At 36.9% G+C, this 21,614-nt stretch overlaps 1 protein-coding gene across 9 annotated transcripts in view, besides 2 other annotated features; it reads left to right on the plus strand.

The window, feature by feature from the left end:
- ROBO2 (roundabout guidance receptor 2) overlaps window positions 1-21,614 on the plus strand; it is a 1,743,290-nt gene that overhangs the window by 127,725 nt on the left and 1,593,951 nt on the right. The window lies entirely within an intron of this gene.
- Window positions 8,949-9,482: an enhancer, noted in NCBI's record as "OCT4-NANOG-H3K27ac-H3K4me1 hESC enhancer chr3:76092499-76093032 (GRCh37/hg19 assembly coordinates)". NCBI's record gives its function as "activates a minimal SCP1, AML or CMV promoter by ChIP-STARR-seq in naive and primed H9 embryonic stem cells {active_cell/tissue: H9 hESC(naive and primed)}" and the evidence as "EXISTENCE:reporter gene assay evidence [ECO:0000049][PMID:30033119]".
- Window positions 9,483-10,015: an enhancer, noted in NCBI's record as "OCT4-NANOG-H3K27ac hESC enhancer chr3:76093033-76093565 (GRCh37/hg19 assembly coordinates)". NCBI's record gives its function as "activates a minimal SCP1, AML or CMV promoter by ChIP-STARR-seq in naive and primed H9 embryonic stem cells {active_cell/tissue: H9 hESC(naive and primed)}" and the evidence as "EXISTENCE:reporter gene assay evidence [ECO:0000049][PMID:30033119]".

Below are 21,614 nucleotides of genomic sequence, written 5' to 3' on the forward strand. Positions count from 1 at the left end.
CCCCGTGTGAAATAGACAAGTCACCTATACTAATTTTCTATGATAAGATGTGGAGACTAGGTTATGTATCCTTGCAGATAAGCACACTCAGAACTGAAAGAACAAAGTTGAAAGTATGTTGTTTCATTAGGGAACAATGTGAAATAATTAATAACCCACATTAGTTCTGTGTGTTAGAATGTTTTTGTGGGGGTAGGAAAAATATTTATTTTGCAGTTAAATTATACAATTCTACTTCCTAATGCTTCCGCTACAGTAACTTCTTCTTGTCTTATCACCTCAAATCCATGTTTTTGGTGATGTGCCATTATCTTGCTTTAAGCTCTTCAATTTCTTCCAGTGGCTGGTAGAAAAAAGTGAAAATTCCTTCGTGTGACATTTATGAGCCTTGCCTGGTTCCAGCTATCATTCATCATGCCCCACCTCATGGCCTGTGCCCCAGCCAATCAAACTGCCTGTAATTTTCTCAGATTACAGTCTGGGTGAGGCCTGCAAGGCTGCTAGTTCAGCGCTCTCTGTTGTATCTTCCTTTGGTCTCTGATTTCTTTTACTCTCCCACCTCCCAGAAAACTTGGTCCAAGAACAGTGCTTCTCTCTTTAACCTTCGCTCAATACTGTATCTGATGTGAATCTTCTTTATAATCGCCTCCTCTTACATAGAAGTGACTGTTTTATCCCATGTGTGCTAATTTCTAGACCTTCATATGTTTTATCTTTGAAGCTATAGTATACTCCTGCATTTAATTACTTACCTATCTTTTTCTATGGCTGGACTACATGTAAATATATCTTTTTTTTTTTTTTTCTAAATCCTCTCTTCCTAGGACAATGTCTGGCACATATTTGGTATTTAAGAAATAAGGCTTGCTGAATTAATGCGCATATGCCAAAATCCCTTTTGATACTGAGTCTTCCTAGTAACAAATATTCTAGACATGTTCTAAGACAGATGCATAAGTATTATCTCAGCATGGATTATCCCAGTATGATTCAGAACAGAACTCATGTATGATTCTCTGTTTGTTTGTTTGTTTTTTTAATTAAGACTGGAAGCATGATTAGAAGGTGACTGTGATCAGTCTGAGGATGCGCTAGGCTAGATTTTCTCCAGGGTAGATTTTCTCCTCTATGCCATAAAATAACCAGCAGACTGTTTAAGAGCCACCAGCAACTCCAATTTTTCTTTCAGAAGTCTGTTAAGACATAATGTTTGATGTGCTTGCTTTCCAAGGCATACATTAGTTGAGTGCAATTATATAAAGGAATGTTGAATCCACAAGCCATATTGCACCGAGTATGTTTTGCAGAAATGTACCTTGATATGCCACATAATTCCCATACACATTTGGGGGCCTGCACTCATTATCGATTGAAAACAATCTCATCAAAAAGTGACAGTCTTGATTGCGATTTTCATCTGATCTTACAAGTTATTTCCAAGGGCCACGGTGTTGGCACATTTTTAACTCCTGTGTCTCCTTCACCCTCTAAAACAGACTTAGCTCCACCTTTTCATGGAAAAACGCAAGACCCTCAAATCATTGTATTGTCCTAACAGCTTTCGAAGAATTACTTCCTTCAAAGTTATTTTCCTCTTTTTTTTAACTTACATTTCTAAAGCTAGAGTCAGGATAGTTGATTCTGGTGCTGAAAAAAAATCAATTAATAACCATTTTTATAAACTTCTACACATTTCTTTGGTGTAGGGATGATGTCGTGGAATATTGTGCATTTGGAGGTTAGAAAGAAATTGGCTCACTTTTTTTTTGAGACCTGGTCTCACTCTGTCGCCCAGGCTGGAGTGCAGTGGAGTGATCTCAGCTCACTGCAACCGCCGCCTCCCGGGTTCAAGTGATTCTCCTGCCTCAACCTCCCAAGTAGCTGGGATTACAGGCACCTGCCACCACGCCCAGTTAATTTTTGTATTTTTAGTAGAGATGGGGTTTCACCATGTTGGTCAGGCTGGTCTCGAACTCCTGACCTCAGGTGATCTGCCTGCCTTGGCCTCCCAAAGTGCTGGGATTACAGGCGTGAGCCAATGCGCCAGGCTGGTTCACATTTTAAATATGCTACTTTTTAACCAAATGATTTGGGGCAAGTTTCTCCCTTTTTTCTTTTTTTTGAAACAGAGTTTCACTCTTGTTGCCCAGGCTGGAGCTCAATGGCGTGATCTCGGCTCACCGCAACCTCTGCCTCCCAGGCTCAAGTGATTCTCCTGCCTCAGCCTCCCTAGTAGCTGGGATTACAGGCATGCACCACCGTACCCAGCTAATTTTGTATTTTTAGTAGAGACGGGATTTCTCCATGTTGGTGAGGCTGGTCTCGAACTCCCGACCTCAGGTGATCTGCCCACCTCGGCCTCCCAAAGTGCTGGGATTACAGGCATGAGCCACTGTGCCCGGCCATTTCTCCACTTTTTCACATGTGTTTTCTCATCTATAAAATATTATTTATCCCTGTAGATCTCTATTCACCTCGAAAATTAAGATAAACCTTTCCATTTACTTCCCAGTATATAATTGGACATTTTACCATAGCGAACTTACCCATGCTTGTTTTTCAGTGTGTTCATTTATATTACTTTGGAAAAGCAATTATCTTGCCATCCTCTTTGTTGTCTTCTGATTTCGACTCCCTATTTGTCAGTGAGATTTTCTTCTGCCCTTAAGTACTATATGCTCATCCATCTCCATTGTATATCAATAGGCCTTTGAAAATAATCCTAGCTGTAAATCCTATTAAATAATTCAGAATTATTTACTCATCTGCATCATCCTGATACATATTCCTATGTTGCCCATACTGTATTCAGTGGTAGAAACACATGCTAAATTAAAAATGCATGTACATTTTCTTTTTTCTTTTTTTTTTTTTTTTAGACAGAGTATCACTCTGTTTCCCAGGCTGGAGTGCAGTGGCGCGATCTCGGCTCACTGCAACCTCCGCCTCCTGGCTTCAAGCGATTCTGCTGCCTCAGCCTCCCAAGCAGCTGGGATTACAGGTGACCACCACCATGCCTGGCTAATTTTTGTATTTTTACTAGAGACGGGGTTTCACTTGTTGGCTGGGCTGGTCTCGAACTCCTGACCTCGTGATCTGCCCTCCTCGGACTCCCAAAGTGCTGGGATTCGCATGTTCATTTTCCAATCACTATTTATGCATTCTTCAATCATACTGCTTTACTCAGTACATACATACATAAAATGTTTTCTGTGTATCAAGCCTTATTCTAGGCACTGGGGATTGACTAAAAACAACAACAAAAAAATAGGATAATCTGTTCCCCTGCCCCCTTGAAACTCACAGTCAAACAGGAGAAAAATATATGAAAGAAAAGAATAAAGTAAATAATTTTGTCATTTGAATAAACACAAAGATAGAGTGATATTATAGAACAAAATCCTTAACTACCCTTGGACAATGAATATGAGTTTTTAAAGAAGTGCCATTTAAGCTGATACTTTAAAAACAAAGAAAGATTCGCTGAATGACAGGGGTCAAGGAGGAAGTATGAATAAGTAAAATTAACCTAGAGAGGAACTTAAGGAAGAAATATAGATCAGAATATGCAGAGCTTTGAAAGAGTCATTTTAAGAATGTTCTTACCTTATCTGAAGGGTACTGGGAAGATACCGGAAAGTTTCAGCAGAAGGGTAACTTGACCTCATTTGTATTTTTAGAGAAATCATTCTAGTTTCTGTTTGTGGAGCAAGAAAAAAGAAAGATTGTTTGGGAAAGAACAGGAAGTAGGGGAAGATCATGAGTAGAATTCTACAAGTAGGTTTTGCAAATATATGTCTAGAGCTAGAAGAAATATCTGGTACAGATATAAATTTGGGTTACTTCAGTCTATCATTATTAAAGGAAAGAATAGGAGTAGGTGAGATTGCATTGAGTGTATATTGCAAGAAGAGTGGGGAAAAGAAATTATGAGGAACTTCAACACTTTAAAATTAAGTAGGAAAGTAGGATCTGGTAATGAACAATCTAGAAGCAAGAATTATAGAGGTGTAAGGAACATCTTAGAATGAGATTACATTGTATGATGGGTGCTGTGATTACTGCCCTCTTAAGGGTGGCCTCAACTACCTGCAACCCATGACTGATCAATATAGGGTTAGGAAGGCACAGTCTACCCGTTCCAACTAGAACTTGGCCTTTATACAACTCTGAAGTGTTATTTTAACACCAGTGTCCCCATGGGCTGAAGCTGCATCCGGCCCACTTTCTCTCCTTGTCCTACCATGCTTCTCTCTACTTTCCTAGCTATTGATCCCAAGAGAATTCCATAAAAGACATCCTTCTTGTTAGTAGCCATCTGACATTCTCCTTCCCTGGGAACCCAACTGGTAGCACATGGAAAACTGCGTGTGTGTGTGTGTGTGTGTGTGTATGTATGTGTGTGTGTGTGTGTGTTTAAAGAGTGTGCTAGATTGTGTCTAGTAATCTTACACTGTCAATAAATAATGTCTGCAATAGGAACAAAGTAGTGATTAGCTCTTTTGTTTCAGTAGTGAATGCAGCTGAATTGGTCAAGTCATGCAAGCAGCAATGGAATTGGACTGTGTAGAGGAATAAGAGAGGGAGACTTAGGATTGGTAATGTTGACAATCTTACTGAAGAGTTTAGAAGGAAACACAAAATCAGGAAAATGGTAGCACATGTAAAATTTGTTTTAGGTAGAAGAAACTGCGTAATTGACTTTGAAATGTTCCTCCACAGGTGGGGGAAGTGGCCATAGTAAAGACTGGCATTAGGTTGACTAGAGAAGGATGCGGTACAGTTTCCTGTCTTGGCTTTTGTTTGTTTCAGGGAAGAAAGAGACAAAGAGTAAGGATAGAAGAGGGAAATACAGAGTTGTGTTTGTGGTAAAAGAGTAAAATAGTCATTTTGAAGGGTGATGGGTTGAATTGAGAAAATAAACATGGTCTATTTTTTTTAGGCAGCATCAGGAGTTCATTTGACAGTAAGGACAATGAATTTATACTGGCACAAATGTAGGCAATCACATATTCTACTTGTTTTCTTGTTTAATATAAATGGCCATGCATTTTGGGTTGGTTGGTAAATGGTGTTTGTGATGAAAACATCTGTTTCCTTTTTTTCTACTCTCTTAAGAAAAAAACCATTTAAAGAAAATTTAAATTACCTTGCATTTGAAAAGAACACATGAATAAGCTTACATAAACATTTTCTCTGTTGGGGAATACTTCCTAATGAATCACATCCTTTGTCTACAGGGTAAAAGGAAAGAACATTATCTGACTAATAAGGAAGAAGGAGTTCTTTGTGAATCTATAATAATAAGCATAGATATTTGTCAGTCTAAACTTACCTTGTTGAGCCTCTATAATTAGTATATGACTGATGAAGAGAAGAAATATTTGTATATGATGTAATGAAAGGCTTTGTAAAGTTTATTTGCATAGGGGATGTAGGTGGAAGCCTGGCTCAAATTAATCAGTATTATCTTCAGAACTGATTGCATTCCACTTCGGAGAATAAATGACATGACATCCTGTGGTTCCTTTGAATTCTGTACATTACATGAAAGGGGCCATATTATTGCTGTGTTAAATAATATCTGACTTGTAATTAAAAATGAATGTAGGTTTTTAATGACTTCTTTTGTCTTCTTTTTTGTGCAGAGAAAACTTCTGAAGCTCATTTTTAACATTTGCTATTCAATTTATAGATTTATAAGTGTAGTTCATCTCTAGGTCTCTTTCATTACTGAAATTATTTTTAAAATGGGAAATTTTAGCAATTATTTTAAGGGCTTGTGAATTTTTTAAATCTTGTTTATAAATGTAAAACATTTTTAAATATTTTTAAATTTATTTATAAACCTTTATAACTTATTTTTTGAGTGCTTCAAATTTAGGATGGTAAATCTTTTCTGCATATCTAAGTAACTTTTATAAATCTAATTAACAAAAATAGTGGCCCTAAAATGCATCTAGTTGTTCCAAAATAATATATAAATACTAAAATATCAATTTAAAATACCATGTCAAAATCAAGCAAATAATTACATATTTTAAGTTTGAAATTATGAAACCATCATTCCAATTCACTAGGAATTCCAAATGTAATATATTTTATTTCACTTAAGTTCTTTAGTGTCTGCATCTACAAACAAAATTTCCCTGATAATTTTATTTTTGTAAGAACAATCAATATGGTGAATCCAAAAGCTTTGCCAAATGTTTCAATACTGTTTATATTAGTAAGAAATTTAAAATCAAATATCTGTTTCAAGTACTCAACTGCACATTTGATATTGTACCTTTAAAACTCACTCTCTGCTGGGCATGGGGGCTCATGCCTGTAATCCCAGCACTTTGGGAGGCCAAGGAGGGTGGATCACCTGAGGTCAGGAGTTCAAGTCCAGCCTGGCCAACATGGAGAAACCTTGTCTCTACTAAAAATACAAAAATTAGCCAGGTGTGGTGGGGTGCATCTGTAGTGCCAGAGTTATTCAGGAGGCTGAGGCAGGAGAATTGCTTGAACTGGGAGGGGGAGGTTGCAGTGAGCTGAGATCCCACCACTGCTCTTCAGCCTGGGTGACAGAGTGAGACTCTATCTCAAAAAACAAAATGAAACTTTCTCTCATAAGTGAAGTTCTCTTAAATATTACAAGTATGTAGATTTCCAACACAGATTGGTTCCTTTCCAATGCCAAACAATCTTTACTAGGATTTCAAATTTTTAAAATATTTCTATGCTTAATCGGAAATCCTGCTGAGGCTAAGGAGATGTGTACACATTATGAAAGCAATGACTATCTGGTAACTGAAGATACTCACAATACCAAATACTTAATTCTAAATCTTACTGCTGAGGAAGATAATGTCATCCTACAGGACTATGATTTATTATGACCAGAAATCTTTGCCAGGATTTTGACTGATCTTTTTAGATTGTATTTTTTCTGAGCTACTAATAAAAACTTATGTAGAACTTTTGTGTCGGAGACCCTCAGACCTCAAGGAGGAAGTTACACAACTCATTCCCTGGAGTTACTTGGAACAGATTTTCTAATTCTCCTGTCTAATCACAGAACTCTGCCCTCCCACCTACATTGGTCCTTTGTCTGTATGTCAAATGCATTATTTTAGCTCTTAAGAAACATATGTGTATTTTCCAACTAAATCTTAAAATTTCATTGGAATATCAATGAATGTCTTTTCCATCTAACTTTAAAGAACTTTGAACTTTATAGAATTTTTTGTTTTTTCATGTTCTTAATACCACAAAACACTTACAGGTATTAATATCATAAGTATTGGCATTTGGATATCTCTTATAGCTTTATCTGACTTGGGTTTGAAAATTATAAGGTCATTCTATTGGCATTTATTTAATTATTGCTTATGACATTTTATGTTGATTGATCCCTACATTTTTGGCTTTTGGAAATAAAGACGGCTATGATTTTGTCTGTAATGGCGCAAACGCATTGCCATTCATTGACATATGAATGTACTTCAAGTTTAAAAGATGTCCTGTTTCTCTTGATCATCGGAAATCTCAGAACTGACAGCACCAGGCATGTGTGTTTGTGTGTGTGTGACAGAGAGTGAGAGAGAGAGGGAGAGCGAGAGCAAGAGAGAGAGAGAGAGGTTAAAAAAAAAAAAAAACACCCCAGAACATAGTAAAGTGACAGAAACAAATTAAAGATGAATTAAATTTCATCCAAACTTTAAATATGGTCATTCTGCATCTTTGAGAAAGTTGGGTAGCTTATTCTAGGAAGATCATATTGTAGAAAGGATCTTTCCTATTAATGTACTAATACCTGATTAGTACATTAACATAATTTTGAAGAAATGAAATGAATAAAGTACTTGATTTTAATGCATGATATGCAGGTGTATATAAGAACTTTGCTAATAGTTGTCTTTTTGAAACAGTAGTAGATGTTTCCAGGTGTGCACAGGTATGTGCGAATATCAGAGATTAAAATAGAAACTGAACCAACAAGCTGTGCTATCATTGAAAATGTATTTGTTTAAAGACTATGTGACACTTAGGAGGCATTTTAATGCAGTATTTTATGTATGCGATTATTTACATAGGTTTAAGTGTTTTTTATTTGACTTCCATAAAATTTAGATTTGTTGCAATCTTATTTTTACCCTTGAGGGAAGAGAGACCCTCTCATATTGTTTTATATTGTTTTATACTCAGTACCTGTTTTAAGAAAAAAACAAGGAAGTGAAATCAAAGACAGGCAGCCCGGTGCCAGGCCCAAAACCAGACCCAAAACCAGGCCTGGGCCTGTCTGGCCTAAACCTAGTAGTTAAAAATCAACTCATGACTTAGAACCCGATGTTACCCATAGATTTCAGGCATTGTATGGAAGAACATTGTGAAACTCCCTGCTCTGTTCTGTTTCACTCTGACCACCGGTGCATGCAGCCCCTGTCACATACCCCTTGCTTGCTCAAATCAATCACGACCCTTTCTTGTGAAATCTTCAGTGTTGTGAGCCCTTAAAAGGGACAGAAATTGTGCACTCAGGGAGCTCGGATTTTAAGGCAGTAACTTGCTGATGCTCCCCGCTGAATAAAGCCCTTCCTTCTACAACTCGGTGTCTGAGGGGTTTTGTCTGTGGCTCGTCCTGCTACACCCTTAATAGTTTCTGAGTCTTGGAAAGGAAAGGGAGGGAATATCCAAATATCTTCAACGGGGTTCTTGGACTTCTAATAAACAGTTAAAATCTTACACACAAGGTATTTAAAGCATACAGATGATTCTACATTTGTCCTAACAGATCATAGTGCCATGAATATTTGTCCATTAACGAACATCCCTTACGTGTAAGAACATTTTGCCACTGTGCTTTTAGTCATCTCCTCTTTTCACATACTGTGCCCTGGAATAGTCTCTCCCTTTTCGTTTGTAAGGGGTCTTCTTGAGCCTAAAGCTTTTATTGGGCCTCACTTTTTGCTGCTTTGTTCCTTCACCAGTTCTGGGCCTTTTTGCTGAGTTGACTACAGGTTGAAAAAGGGAGAAAGCACAACCCCAAAGCTTCTGACCTATGAGTAACAAGATTACTGAATTTCCCTTAGTCCTGCTGAGGGCTGATCCTCTACTCTGTAAAGACCATGGCTGGAGAAGACCTAACATTGACTCCAGCTCACTTGGATTTTTCAGTCTTTGATGATGGAAGCCTGAAATGCAGAGCTTACACCCTAACCAATTCTTCATCGTCCAAAAAAAAAAAAAAAAAAAAAAAAAACCACACCAAAAAACCAAACCAAAACAAACCAAAACAAAAAAACACTGCCACCTCTTTATGACCAACCATAGTTTTGGTTTAAGCCTTCCAGAAGCACTTATCTACTTAATCCACAATTATATTTTAGTATCATGCTAAGCATGGAGTTAATATCAAGGAGCAAATGGCCTCTGGCCTTTTGGAATCCACATTATCTTGGAACTATGTGAAGATTGTCTTCGGATCACTTTGCCCTGCTGTGCTTCCCCTCCACCCCATGCATTTTGTCTTTTCTACCTCCTTCCCTATTGTTTTGTAAAGTTACATCACGATGTTGAGTGGTGGTGTTTTACACCCCAATGTCCCATAAACAAATACTTTTAATACCCTTTTGTTGGTGCTAATTTGTAAGTGACCATTGTATACACCACAGTAAGTACCTGTAAAGTTGGGAGACAAAGAAAAGAGAATTGTATTGTTCTCATGCTGAGACAGGGCAGCATTAAACTCCTCTGTAACCTCTTTTCTGTATTTCTGTTTTAACAAGGGTAGATACAGAAAATAGCAGCAAAGGAAGATGTGGGGTCAGAGAACAAGGACCAAAGCTGGAACCAAGTTATCACGAAGTGGGTGAATGTAAGCATTCTTCCCTCAAACATCTGTGTTCTTCAGCTTGTCCCACTTCACCCTTTCCAAAGAAGCACAGGTTTTTAAATAGAAGAGAAGCAATGTTGAATAAAGAGTATATCAGAACTCTCCATAATTCATATAACCTCCAGACAAGTTTTCAGATTTATTGGTCAGAAAACACATGGTGACATTCACTACTTTTTTTGTTATTATTGTAAAGATTTCTGTGAGAATGTGGGACTCAGTCAAACTTTGTAGGGAGAAATAAGTCACAGTCACAGAGATTCATTCATTCATTCATTCATTCATTCATTCATTCATTCAACACATAGCTTTTGTTTCTATTATGCCCCACTGTCCTAGGCTCTGGGGATTAAACAGTGACCAAAAATGACAGGTGTTTAGCCTCATGGAGCTTAAAGCATATTGAAGGTGACAGAAAAAACTCATAGGAATGTGCAATGTGCATAAATAAAATACTCTGGGATAAGTGCCATGACTAAAATACACAGAGGGCTGACATATAGTTGCATGTTGTGTAAGAGGGACTTGCGTTAGGTAAGGTGTCTAGGTTAGCTGTCTCTGAGGAAACTGCATTTCAACTGGGACCTAAAAGATTACAGTGAGGTCAGAGAGTGTCCTAGGCAGAGATAAATAGAATGTGCAAAGGCCTTTAGGTTGAAAAATTCCTAAGCTGTTTGAAAAACTGATAGGGGCCAAGTTGCAGGTGAAACGGATGTGAGAGCAAGTCAAGCTATTTCCATTTTATTACAAACCACACATAAGGTCTTTAAATGTTCCAGAATTTTGATTTCTTTTATTACCTGGGAGAGAATGTAATTTTATTTTCATCAAATCTTGTTTTTATAAACTCCTGTTACATTTTGTTTTCATCTGAGAAAGCTGACTATATAGTGCCCCCGTGTGGCACAGTGCCATGTTACATGATTAATACTGTACAATCTTTGAGGCATGATTTTAGCAAAATTCTTTTACACCTTTTCAGTTAATCTAAGTCACCTCTAGCTGCTCTCACTCAAACATAGAATCTTATTTATTTTTATTGTTGTGTTTTACTACTTTCTCACATTCCACTGTGGAATGGACATGAGCTGGGAGCACAGACTCCAGTGGCCTCAGGAGCCAGGCAGATTGAGAGCAAAAATGAGTGAGGCCAGACCAGATCTGAAACACTAAAAGACTCTGGGAGATTTGGAGACACAAGTTATAGAGAAAGACTTTCAATTTTATGTATTTACTTTATAAATAAGTAATGCCAAAATAAATAGCCTTGGGGACCATTGTATTTTTCAGTCTCTGTCCCCAGATTTCTACTTTTAGCAAATGTACATTGTTAATTTCTCAGTCAACACCATAAATGCTCTGTATCCTTTTGTACATTTTGACTATTTTAGAACTGATTATTTTGTGCATCAAGTTGTCTATTTCTGTTTCCAAGTTCAATATTTTGCCACAGGTTTATTTTGGAAAGTATTTCAGGAATCTTTGCTGCTCAAAACCAAGCACTCTGTAGCTGGTGGTGGTTTCTTTCCTCCTCTCCCTTCCTCTCTCTTCCTCTTCTTTCTTAAGGCTTGAGCCATTTTTCAGTAGAAGAGTTTTATTTTTATTTTTATTTTTTATTTATTTATTTTTGACAAATTACTGCCAGTATGCTTTATGGAATGCAGCTGTTGAACTTCATTTCCTGCTTTTCTTTGCATTAAAGTAGTCCCAAAATTTTTTCCCGAGGAAGTCTTCACTTTGACTGCCAGCACTGCTTGTATACCTTTCAAGTCAGAAATTGAGTGATCTGTTCAGGCCCATCTTTATCCAGCTCCTGCTTTTCATATGAGGATGTTTGTGCTACATGCAATTTTGTTGACTTTTGGAGTGTAAAGCTTTGTTCGTAAATGAAAACATAGAATTACAGCTTTCCCGGTCCTTGTCAGGGACTATAATCACAAATTCACTGCAGCTTGATACTTTTCAGACACATGGATAAGATAAATAATATTTATGGAAGATGGCCTGGAGGAAACGAAGCCATCCATTCTGCCATGTAATCTAAAATCTATTTCAAGATGAAGTGAGACCATCAAAAAATGCCTAACTGGCCGGGCGCGGTGGCTCATGCCTGTAATCCCAACACTTTGGGAGGCCGACGCGGGTGGATCACAAGGTCAGGAGATCGAGACCATCCCGGCTAACGCGGTGAAGCCCCGTCTCTACTAAAAATACAAAAAATTAGCCGGGCGTGGTGGCAGCGCCTGCAGTCCCAGCTACTCGGGAGGCTGAGGCAGGAGAATGGCGTGAACCCGGGAGGCGGAGCTTGCAGTGAGCCGAGATCGCGCCACTGCACTCCAGCCTGGGTGACAGAGCCAGACTCCGTCTCAAAAAATAAAATAAAAAAAGCCTGACTGGACCACATCATACTGGGCCCAACACAGTCGCTTCTTACTGAACTACTTTGGTCCTCATAAAACCTTCTCTTTATGAGGGGCCATAGGAAATATTTTCTCTTATTTCATATTGGTGTTTCTCCCAAATAACTAGAATATATCACGTATGGTCTTGTTACTGGTTACATTTCCTCCTTTGTGCATGTTAATTGGAAAACTCAAAGTCAAATTTGTGCTCTGCCCTGACTCAGTGCATGATTCGTCAAAGTATCCATTTGTTCATTGACCACATTTCTGACACCATCTTGCTTCCCTATTTTTGTATTTCCTAAAGGTTCTTTCTAAAGAGTTTAAATATTTTATATTTGCAAGCAACTTAAATGCATTTGGAACAGAAGTGATATATAAGTAACAACCATAGGATCTCTATCGATGCTGTACTTAATTATAGGTACATAATTCCTGGCTGAACAGTCTGTAACCTAAATAAGTAAGAATTAATACACTGTATAATTCCTCAAGAGCTGAAACCTCCCCCCAGATAAATTTTATAAGCCATGCTAATCCTATTTCTCAGTGTACAAAGGTTGAACTTGTGGACTAATAATGCATTAATATTCCTCATGAAAAATATAGCTAAATAGGGAGAGAGGAGATGAAAAGAACCAAAAATATTCTTTTAAGGATAATATTTGATCCTCTGCATCCGTTCATTAAAGCTAATATTCATTCTCCATTTCTCTCTGTCTGTCTTGTTCTATGAAAAGACCTAACCTGCACTCAACATGTGTGTGACATTAATAGATGTTAGTGATACAGAGATTGCCGTCAGTGGAGATTGACAGCACTGTGGAGGTGAGAACCAGTCTTGCTTACCACCCAGGATCTGGATCTCTGGTCTGCTTTGTCATGCAACACAATCCTTCTGGGATTTCTGCGTGATGACAAGCCTCAGCGATAATTATATTAAAATGCTTTTAACTTAGTGTAAACATAATTTAATAAGATGTAGATGTTCCGATAGGCTAGCCTTGAATCCAGTCTTGAGACCAGAGACAATATGCCTGCGTGCATGATGTATGTCTGGAAAGCATGTACATTCTTCAACCCCAGTTAATTTCTACTAAGAAGTGTGTTAGTCTCTGATCTAATAATCTAATCTGCAGATTACTACATTTTTATTACAATAAAGAACTCCTGGGCTTTTAAAATATCAGTAAGGTTATCTTACCTGGAATATTAAATATTATTGAAGTTACAACTTTGGAGAAATTATATTCTTAATGAATATGGTTATATTATACCTGTTTGTTATTAGAGTAGCCCTCAAAGTTGGTGATTTATCAGTGCATTGCTGCTGAATAACAATAGCTTTATTGAATGTCTGCTTGATACTGAGCATTGTATTAGAGGCTTTTCATATATTATCTCATTTAGTCATCGTAAAACATTTTATGGAATGTATTGTCAACACTTTGTGAATGAAAAGTGGAGTAAATTGTTTGCATTCCCGTAGGTGGGCAGGTTTTTTATGCTAAAAAAAAGAAAATGGTTGCATTCACATCTCTTAACCTATATGCACACTTCCTTTGCACAGTGGGGTTTGGCAAAGCTCTATCTTCTGCTAGTGATAGAGCAATTCTGATTGAAATCATACCATTTTAGATAAACAAAATTAAAATTAAACTTATATTTGTGCAACTTGAAAATTGTGAATTTTTCCTGCAGTGACAGGAAGACACACATCATGATTGACACTCAGGTTTATGTTTTAGAGTAGGAAACAGATAGTGATAAGCCAGAAAAATGAGTTTGTACATAAACTGCAAATATTTTTACTTAATATAGTAAGCAGTAAATGATTAGTCAATGTTTTTGATCATATGAATGATAATTTATACATGGGAATATTGCAGCCCTTATGCACTGCAGATGAGATTATGGATTGTCACACTAGTTAAAAAAACAATATGGAATTATACAATATATTTTAAGGCGATTCATAGGTGAATCACAACCTATGATCCATCCATTTGACCCCTAAAAAGCTAGCAAGGAAGCTTAGACACATGTGCATCAGGGCACACAAGAGCATCCATGGCAGCTGTGTCTACGGTAACGGGGCACTGAAGATTGACAGGAGAGTAAGTTAACAAATCGTAGCATGTTTACAAATAGAATACTCCACGGCATTGTGAATGAGGGAACGGAATTGTAAATGTTAACAAGATTAATCTCAGGAACACAATGTTGAATGAAAATAGCACACCACAGAAAGTTACATACTTCTTGAGTATACTTGAATAAGGTTCAAAGCATGCAACGCTAAACAACATATTAGAGGCACATATGATGGTACAACTATTAATAAAAATAAAGAAGAATTAAAAACCACACAAGATACAGGATAATGGTCATCTCTTTGGGGGAGAGAGTTCTCAGGATGAGGGACCCTAAGAGTTTTGGCAACTTCTTATTTTGAGCTGGGTAGCTAGGTGGTGTGTGTAAGGAGCCCCCTTTTCCGTTTAATCTTAGTGTCTCACATTTATCACAAGCATTTTCTGTTTTTTTGAGACAGGGTTTTACTGTGCTGCCCAGGCTGGAGTGCAGTGGTGTGACCACAGCTCACTGCTGCAGCCACGACCTCTTGGGCTCAAGCAATCCTCTCACCTCAGCCTCTGGAGTAGCTGAGACCACAGGCACATGCCACCACCCCTGGCTAATTTTAGTATATATATATATATATATATTTTTTTTTTTTTTTTTTTTTGTAGAGACAGAGTTTTGCCATATTACCTAGGCTGACCTCAAACTCCTGGACTCAAGTGATCCGTCTCCCTCAGTCTCCCAAAGTGCTGGGATTACAGGCGAGAGCCGTGGAATCTGGCCACAAGCGTTCCTTTAGTGTATATGTATTAAATATTCCAACAAGGACAAAAAATATTTAAGGCCTAAATATTTTCTAAGTAAAGTTATTTATATCACACTCTTTACAGAAGCACCTCCTCTTAATTAATTCTTTCCACATATTCTTCTCTGAATTTAATTCATAAGAGTTATTGTCCAGTGTTCTGTAACTTGTGCCACTTTTTCATCAAACAAGGAAGATATGTGTGTGTCCCTGCACCCTGGGTGGCCTGCTACAAATTTTTCACTCCTGGTACTACATAGTCCCTCTCTGGAAATCAGGTCAGTTGGTAGTCTTCTGTATTTTTGCCTCCTGCCGCAGTGTATTAAAAATGATAAAAAGATAGGCCTCTTCTTTGTGCTGTAAAATAACCCAAGCATAGCAAAGCTCTGATTAAATGAGTGCAGAATGGTTTTCTGACAGTAGTTGGTAGCTGATGCTTGCCATTCCCCAGTGTGATGGTTAATAATGAGTGTCAACTTGATTGGATTGAAAGACGCAAATAACTGTTCCTGGGTGTGTCTTTGAGGGTATTGCCAAAGGACATTAACATTTGAGTTAGTGGACTAGGAGACATAGAACCACCCTCAATCTGGGTGGGCACTGTCTAATCAGCTGCCATTGTGGCTAAGAGAAAAGCAGGCAGAAGAACTCGGAAGGACTAGACTGGCTAAGTCCTCAGGTCTCCATCTTTCTCCCGTGCTGGATGCTTCATGCCCTCAAACATCAGACTCTAAGTTCTTCAGCTTTTGGACTCTTGGACTTAACACCAGTGTTTTGCCAGGGGCTCTCAGGTCTTCAGCCACACACTGAAGGGGACACTGCTGGCTTCCCTACTTTTGCAGTTTGGGGACTCAGACTGGCTTCCTGGGTCCTCAGCTTGCAGATGGCGTATTGGGGGCTTCACCTTATGATCATGTGAGTCAATTCTCCTAATAAACTCCCTTTCATGTATACATCTATCCTATTAGTCCTGTCCCTCTAGAGAACCCTGACTAATACATCCAGCTAGGAGACACAGTTAAGGTTATAAATACCACCCACAGGCTGGTTCTCGTGGCCACTGCCTCTCTTACAGTGTTTATTTCTCCATCGAGTTCTGCAACGGCTGTGTCCTTGCTGTGCTCTCCCTCTTCTCTCTCCATACCTGATGGCCAGAGCTGTTTCCAGATCTTCTTTGCCTTTATAAATGCCTTCTTCCCTCCTACAGCTGATTCCTTCCAACAGGGCTCAGCAGGTGAAAGGGAATTCACAGAAGTCTTCTCTAATGAATATTGCTGTGATGCTTTTTGAAATTACTAACATTCCTATCATTTTCATTAAACAGTGAAGATAGAAGATTAAAGACAACTATTCCTGCAGAAGAGCTCTTCCTTGTTGCCTGCCCATATTTTAAATGTGCAAACCTTGGTGATATATTGATATCCTGTGATGAGTTTATCCTACATCATTGGTTGAGTTTTCTTCTGTTCTTTCATATTTTATCATGTGTATAATTATTTTTCTCCAGATGAATCTTACACTGTTTGTTATATTTACTTGTTCTTATATATATTGCCATATTGCCTAGGCTGAAAAAAAATTGACTTATGCACTTATTTAGTGCCTTATTTGAAAAAAACGACAGTTTCAGTTATTTGAAACTCTAAAATACATTTTCTTCGTGTCTGTTTTCTATATTTTAAAAATGAAGTACTTTGATATGTCACTATGGTCATAAGTTCCAGTCCAAAGTTCCTCTAAAGAACCACCTTATCTTACACATCTCAAAGGAATTTAGCTGATGAAATACTTTGAACTAATCAAGGAAGGGATAACATCCTACTTTTTGTAGACTTTGTTTTCACATGTATATTACACATGGACTATATTATAACAATGTTTGCAAAAATTACTTTTAAGTATATTAATCATGGTTTCTGACAGGTAAAATGCTGAAATAAGCTTCTTGTAATGGGCGTGAATTATTTTTTGTGGCTTGCAGAATATTGCAGATTAATATCACAGAAAGCATGTCTAGTTCATGCAACAATTATTTTCATGCAAATTGTGTGGGGCTTTACAAATAATACATATTTGCTACCACTCTACTTGACAGCAAAGAAAATAAAATAAAAACAATAAATGTTTGAGAAAAGATCAGGTTCACGTATACTACATATACCACATTATCTTTCATATCATTAGTTGCCTTGCACTTTAAACCTGTGACAAAACATGACAAATTTTAGAAGGGAAAATATTATTGTAAGATAAATTATATACCTCTGAAGCCTGTATTCCTATAAATTTAGTTGATAAAGCTCAGCTTATTTAGAGTTTTGAAGAGATATTTTTCTCTTCAATGAAGAAATCTCCATAATTGAATGATCTAAATTTCAATGATAAAAAGTACTATTAAAAGAAAATATTTATGGAAAAGCTTCCCTTTAACAATTTTTATGTCCAAAATATGATTTAATTTTTCATGAAATGGGAATATGAATAATCAGACATTCTTTTACACACACCTCATAAATTTAAAAGTTCTCAATCTATTTTAAAAACCTATGTGTGAACAACAATGTCATAGGACATGTTAAGAACTACAGCAGTAAGAAAAAGTGAACAGCCCTTGAAATGGTGTGTAGGAAAGGACAGGATGTCTTCCAGGAAGAGCTGCCAATTCTGTTTAAAATTAAGAGACAATGGAGTAATGTAAATACTAACTTTACCCTGGAAATTGCAACATTTATCATCTAGCATCAAATATGTATGCTAGGACTCACTCATGCACACACAGATGATTTCTGTTCTATAATAAAGTTAATTGGTGAAACAAAATAATGGGTTTAATTTCTGGCAAAGAAATGCCTGGTTAATCTAAATTAGTAATGTTTGCTTATGGAATTTCATACCCCAATTATTTCATGATGCTGTCCTTGAGATTTTTTTTTTGTTAAACTGCATGATACACATTTTGCATGAAGTATTTTTAAAACTTAGGGTATCTCCTTATTTTCTGATTAAAGTAAAATTTCTCAGTGTTTCTGTAAGGACTTTGGCAAATATTCTTGCTGCTTTATAAAACAAAATATAAGAACCAGAAATCTTTGTAATCCTTCACTATGTTGATGTCTTTTTATAGCAGATTTCTCAGGAATTATTGTTTGTGGTTCCAAATTGAAATTTTCCCTGCATAATCTAACATTCATATCTTCAAATCTGATGTGATAAACTGAACAATCTCTTTGTAAGTGATATTTTGTAAAGCTCATTCTGTATTTAGGACAAGTGAACATAAAGTCATCACCTTCAAAATAGCTCAGTGGTCATATCTCATGTTAAATTGACTAGGGAAATTCTAAACATTGAAAGTGTTCAAGTCTGGATTTTTTTCCTTAAGAAATATAACCTTTGGTTATTTATATTTTAAAGAAGCTAGTTTTATGAATTAAGCTTTAACTTTGAGATAATTTTATATTCATAGGCAGTTATAAGAAATAATACAGAGATATTTTATTGCCACTTGCCTAGCTTCCCCCAGTGGTCATGTTGGCCAGACTATAGGACAATATCATAACAAAGATGTTGACATTGATATAATCCATTGAACTTATTCAGGGTCAGTTTTGCTTTTTACGTTAAAGTACATGATTCATTTAGTTTTTGTTTTTAAAATAAAGTATCTGAGGGCCAAGTCTGTTGACTTAGTTCTTTAAATTTTACATCTAACGCAAAGTTACTGAGACATAGAGCTTTGAGAAGTGCAATGTTATTTCTAGAGTTAAATTTAAATAAAACACTTAAAGTCTGAGACTATTTTCTAGTTGTAAAAACAGTTAAAAATGCATTGTAGATGTTCTTTTTCTTTCATTTCAAAACCTAAACAATGTTCTATTCTTTAAAGGTAGTTCATTAATAAGCAAAGATTTGTTACAACTGTGGTGAGAATAACATGTATGTATATTTTAGCATTTGGATACATCCTACATGAAAACATTTCTTTATATTTAAACAATTATTTCATATAAATAGAAGTCAAAAGAAATGTTATCAGATGCTATAAAATAACTATCTTCTGTAATGTAGGATGCACTAGGAAAATAGTGAATAAAATATCATGTGCTGCTTTTGGCATTAGATTTACCATACATTAAGATAAATGGGTTCATTAACTTCTTCCACCCATCTTTTTTATTTTGGAGACTGACTTCATATTACTGTGATAAGAGGCAGATTGAAATCCTGGCTTCCTGATGATATATCTTCTTAAATGAACTCTTGTTGATGTAGATTAAGTGGGCTAGCAGATACAGTACTACTCATAAAACAGCTTTTCAGAGCTTTTTATAGTTTAATAAACATTTGCCTATTTCCCAAAAATATCATGCAAGCATACTAAATATAAAGTCAATAATCTGTACTTTATATAACTATTACCATTGTCTAACAATGTGATTTATCTGTTTGGAACTAAATTGACCAAAGACATTAACAAACATGTCTGATATGGAAATTTAAGTTTTATGTCTTTATGGAAATATGTTTTAAGTCCTGCCTTTTTGTAATTGAGAGTTATATTTTTACTTGAATATTTAAATTTTATATGTAATTACAATAATAAGGCAACCTCTATCATGAACGAATCCTGATTTGGTGAGGTGAAATGTCTTAGTTTATGTTTGTATAAATTGTATACAATATTGTGTAATTTGTATAAAATATTTTATCTGAATTTAGTTCTTTAGGTCAGATGGAAAAACCTCTCCTCCCTAGCCCTACCTCCAATAATTGGAAAATCTACTTACTGACATGTCAAGTCACTTTTCTTGAGGAATAAACTTCTAAAAGTAGTAGTCATAGAGTGAGTTTAGACAGAAATTCAGAAACGGTCAACTAAAGTTAACTATACCCCTGTTGTTCACTGTTATCATGGCTTTCATTTTTCTATCCAGCCAAAAATACTTCTAGTTTTATTCCCTCCAAGTTTACTGCCTTCTTGTTTACATGCCTATTGCATGTTGTCACTTATAAGTAGGAGCTAAACAGTAGGGACACATGGACATAAACATAGAGATAATAGACACTGGGAATTCCAACAGGATTTGGATTACATATTATATTATTCAAATTAAGTCCTATGTGCCTATCAGTGGAGGTCCATAATAATTGTTTCAGAAATAATTTTAAACATGGAAGTTTGAAATGCATTTTTGGCATATTTTACCAGGGAAAGTTGGAGAGAAGAGCAGAGATTTTCTAGCTGTCCTCTTGGTATGCTTGCTTATGCATTAGCTTGCATAAACTGACACATCCTGTGTCAGCCCATAAACCCTTAAGCTGAAGTTTGGGGAGGTGAGGAATCTCTGGACATATCCTTAAGTTGATTGATTATCAATTTGAAAGGGCAGTGTATTAGTCTGTTCTCATGCTGCTAATAAAGACATACCCGAGACTGGGTCATTTATCAAGGAAAGAGGTTTAATTGACTCACAGTTCTACATTGCTAGAGAGGCCTTGCAATCATGGCTGAAGGCGAATGAGGAGCAAAGTCACATCTTACATGGCGGCAGGGAAGAGGGCATGTGCTTTATAAAACCATCAGATCTCATGAGACTTATTCAATATCACAAGAACAGCATGGAAAAAACCGCCTCCATGATTCAATATCTCCCACGGGGTCCCTCCCACAACCTGTGGGGATTATGGGAGCTACAATTCAAGATGAGATTTGGGTGGGGACACAAAGCCAAACCATATCAGGCAGACCTTATTAATTGTCACCACCATCTTTTTATTGTATTTATCTTATTTTCTAATTTTAGATGCAGAGATTATTTGTTACATGGCTATTCCATGCGTGATGGCAGGAAATGTACTTCTAGTGCACCTGTCACCCAAATAGTGAACATTATACTCAATAGGCAGTTTATTAACCCTCATTCCCCTGTCGCCCTCCCCCCTTTTGGAGTTTTCAGTGTCTATTATCTCCATCTTTATATCCATGTGCCCCCATTATTTAGCTCCTACTTGTGAGAATGTGAAATATTTGATTTCCTGCTTCTGGGTTTGTTCACTTAGGATTATAGCCTCCAGCTCCATCCACATTGCTGCAAAGGGCATGATTTTATTATTTTTGTGACTGTATGGTATTCCAAGGTGTATGTATACTTTTTTTTTATCTAATCAACTGTTGACCACCAGCTTTTATTTTATTTATTTATTTATTTTTTGAGACGGAGTCTCGCTCTGTCGGCAGGCTGGAGTGCAGTGGCGCGATCTCGGCTCACCGCAACCTCTGCCTCCTGGGTTCAAGCGATTCTCCTGCCTCAGCCTCCCAAGTAGCTGGGACTACAGGCATGCACCACCACACCTGGCTGGACCACCAGCTTTTAAGAACAAACTTGATTGACTAATTTTACTAGTTTTTGTGACTCACGACTCATTCAACACTTCTGGGATTAAAAAT

This window comes from Homo sapiens, chromosome 3 (genome assembly GCF_000001405.40).
Source record: "Homo sapiens chromosome 3, GRCh38.p14 Primary Assembly".
NCBI classification, from domain to species: Eukaryota; Metazoa; Chordata; class Mammalia; order Primates; family Hominidae; genus Homo; species Homo sapiens.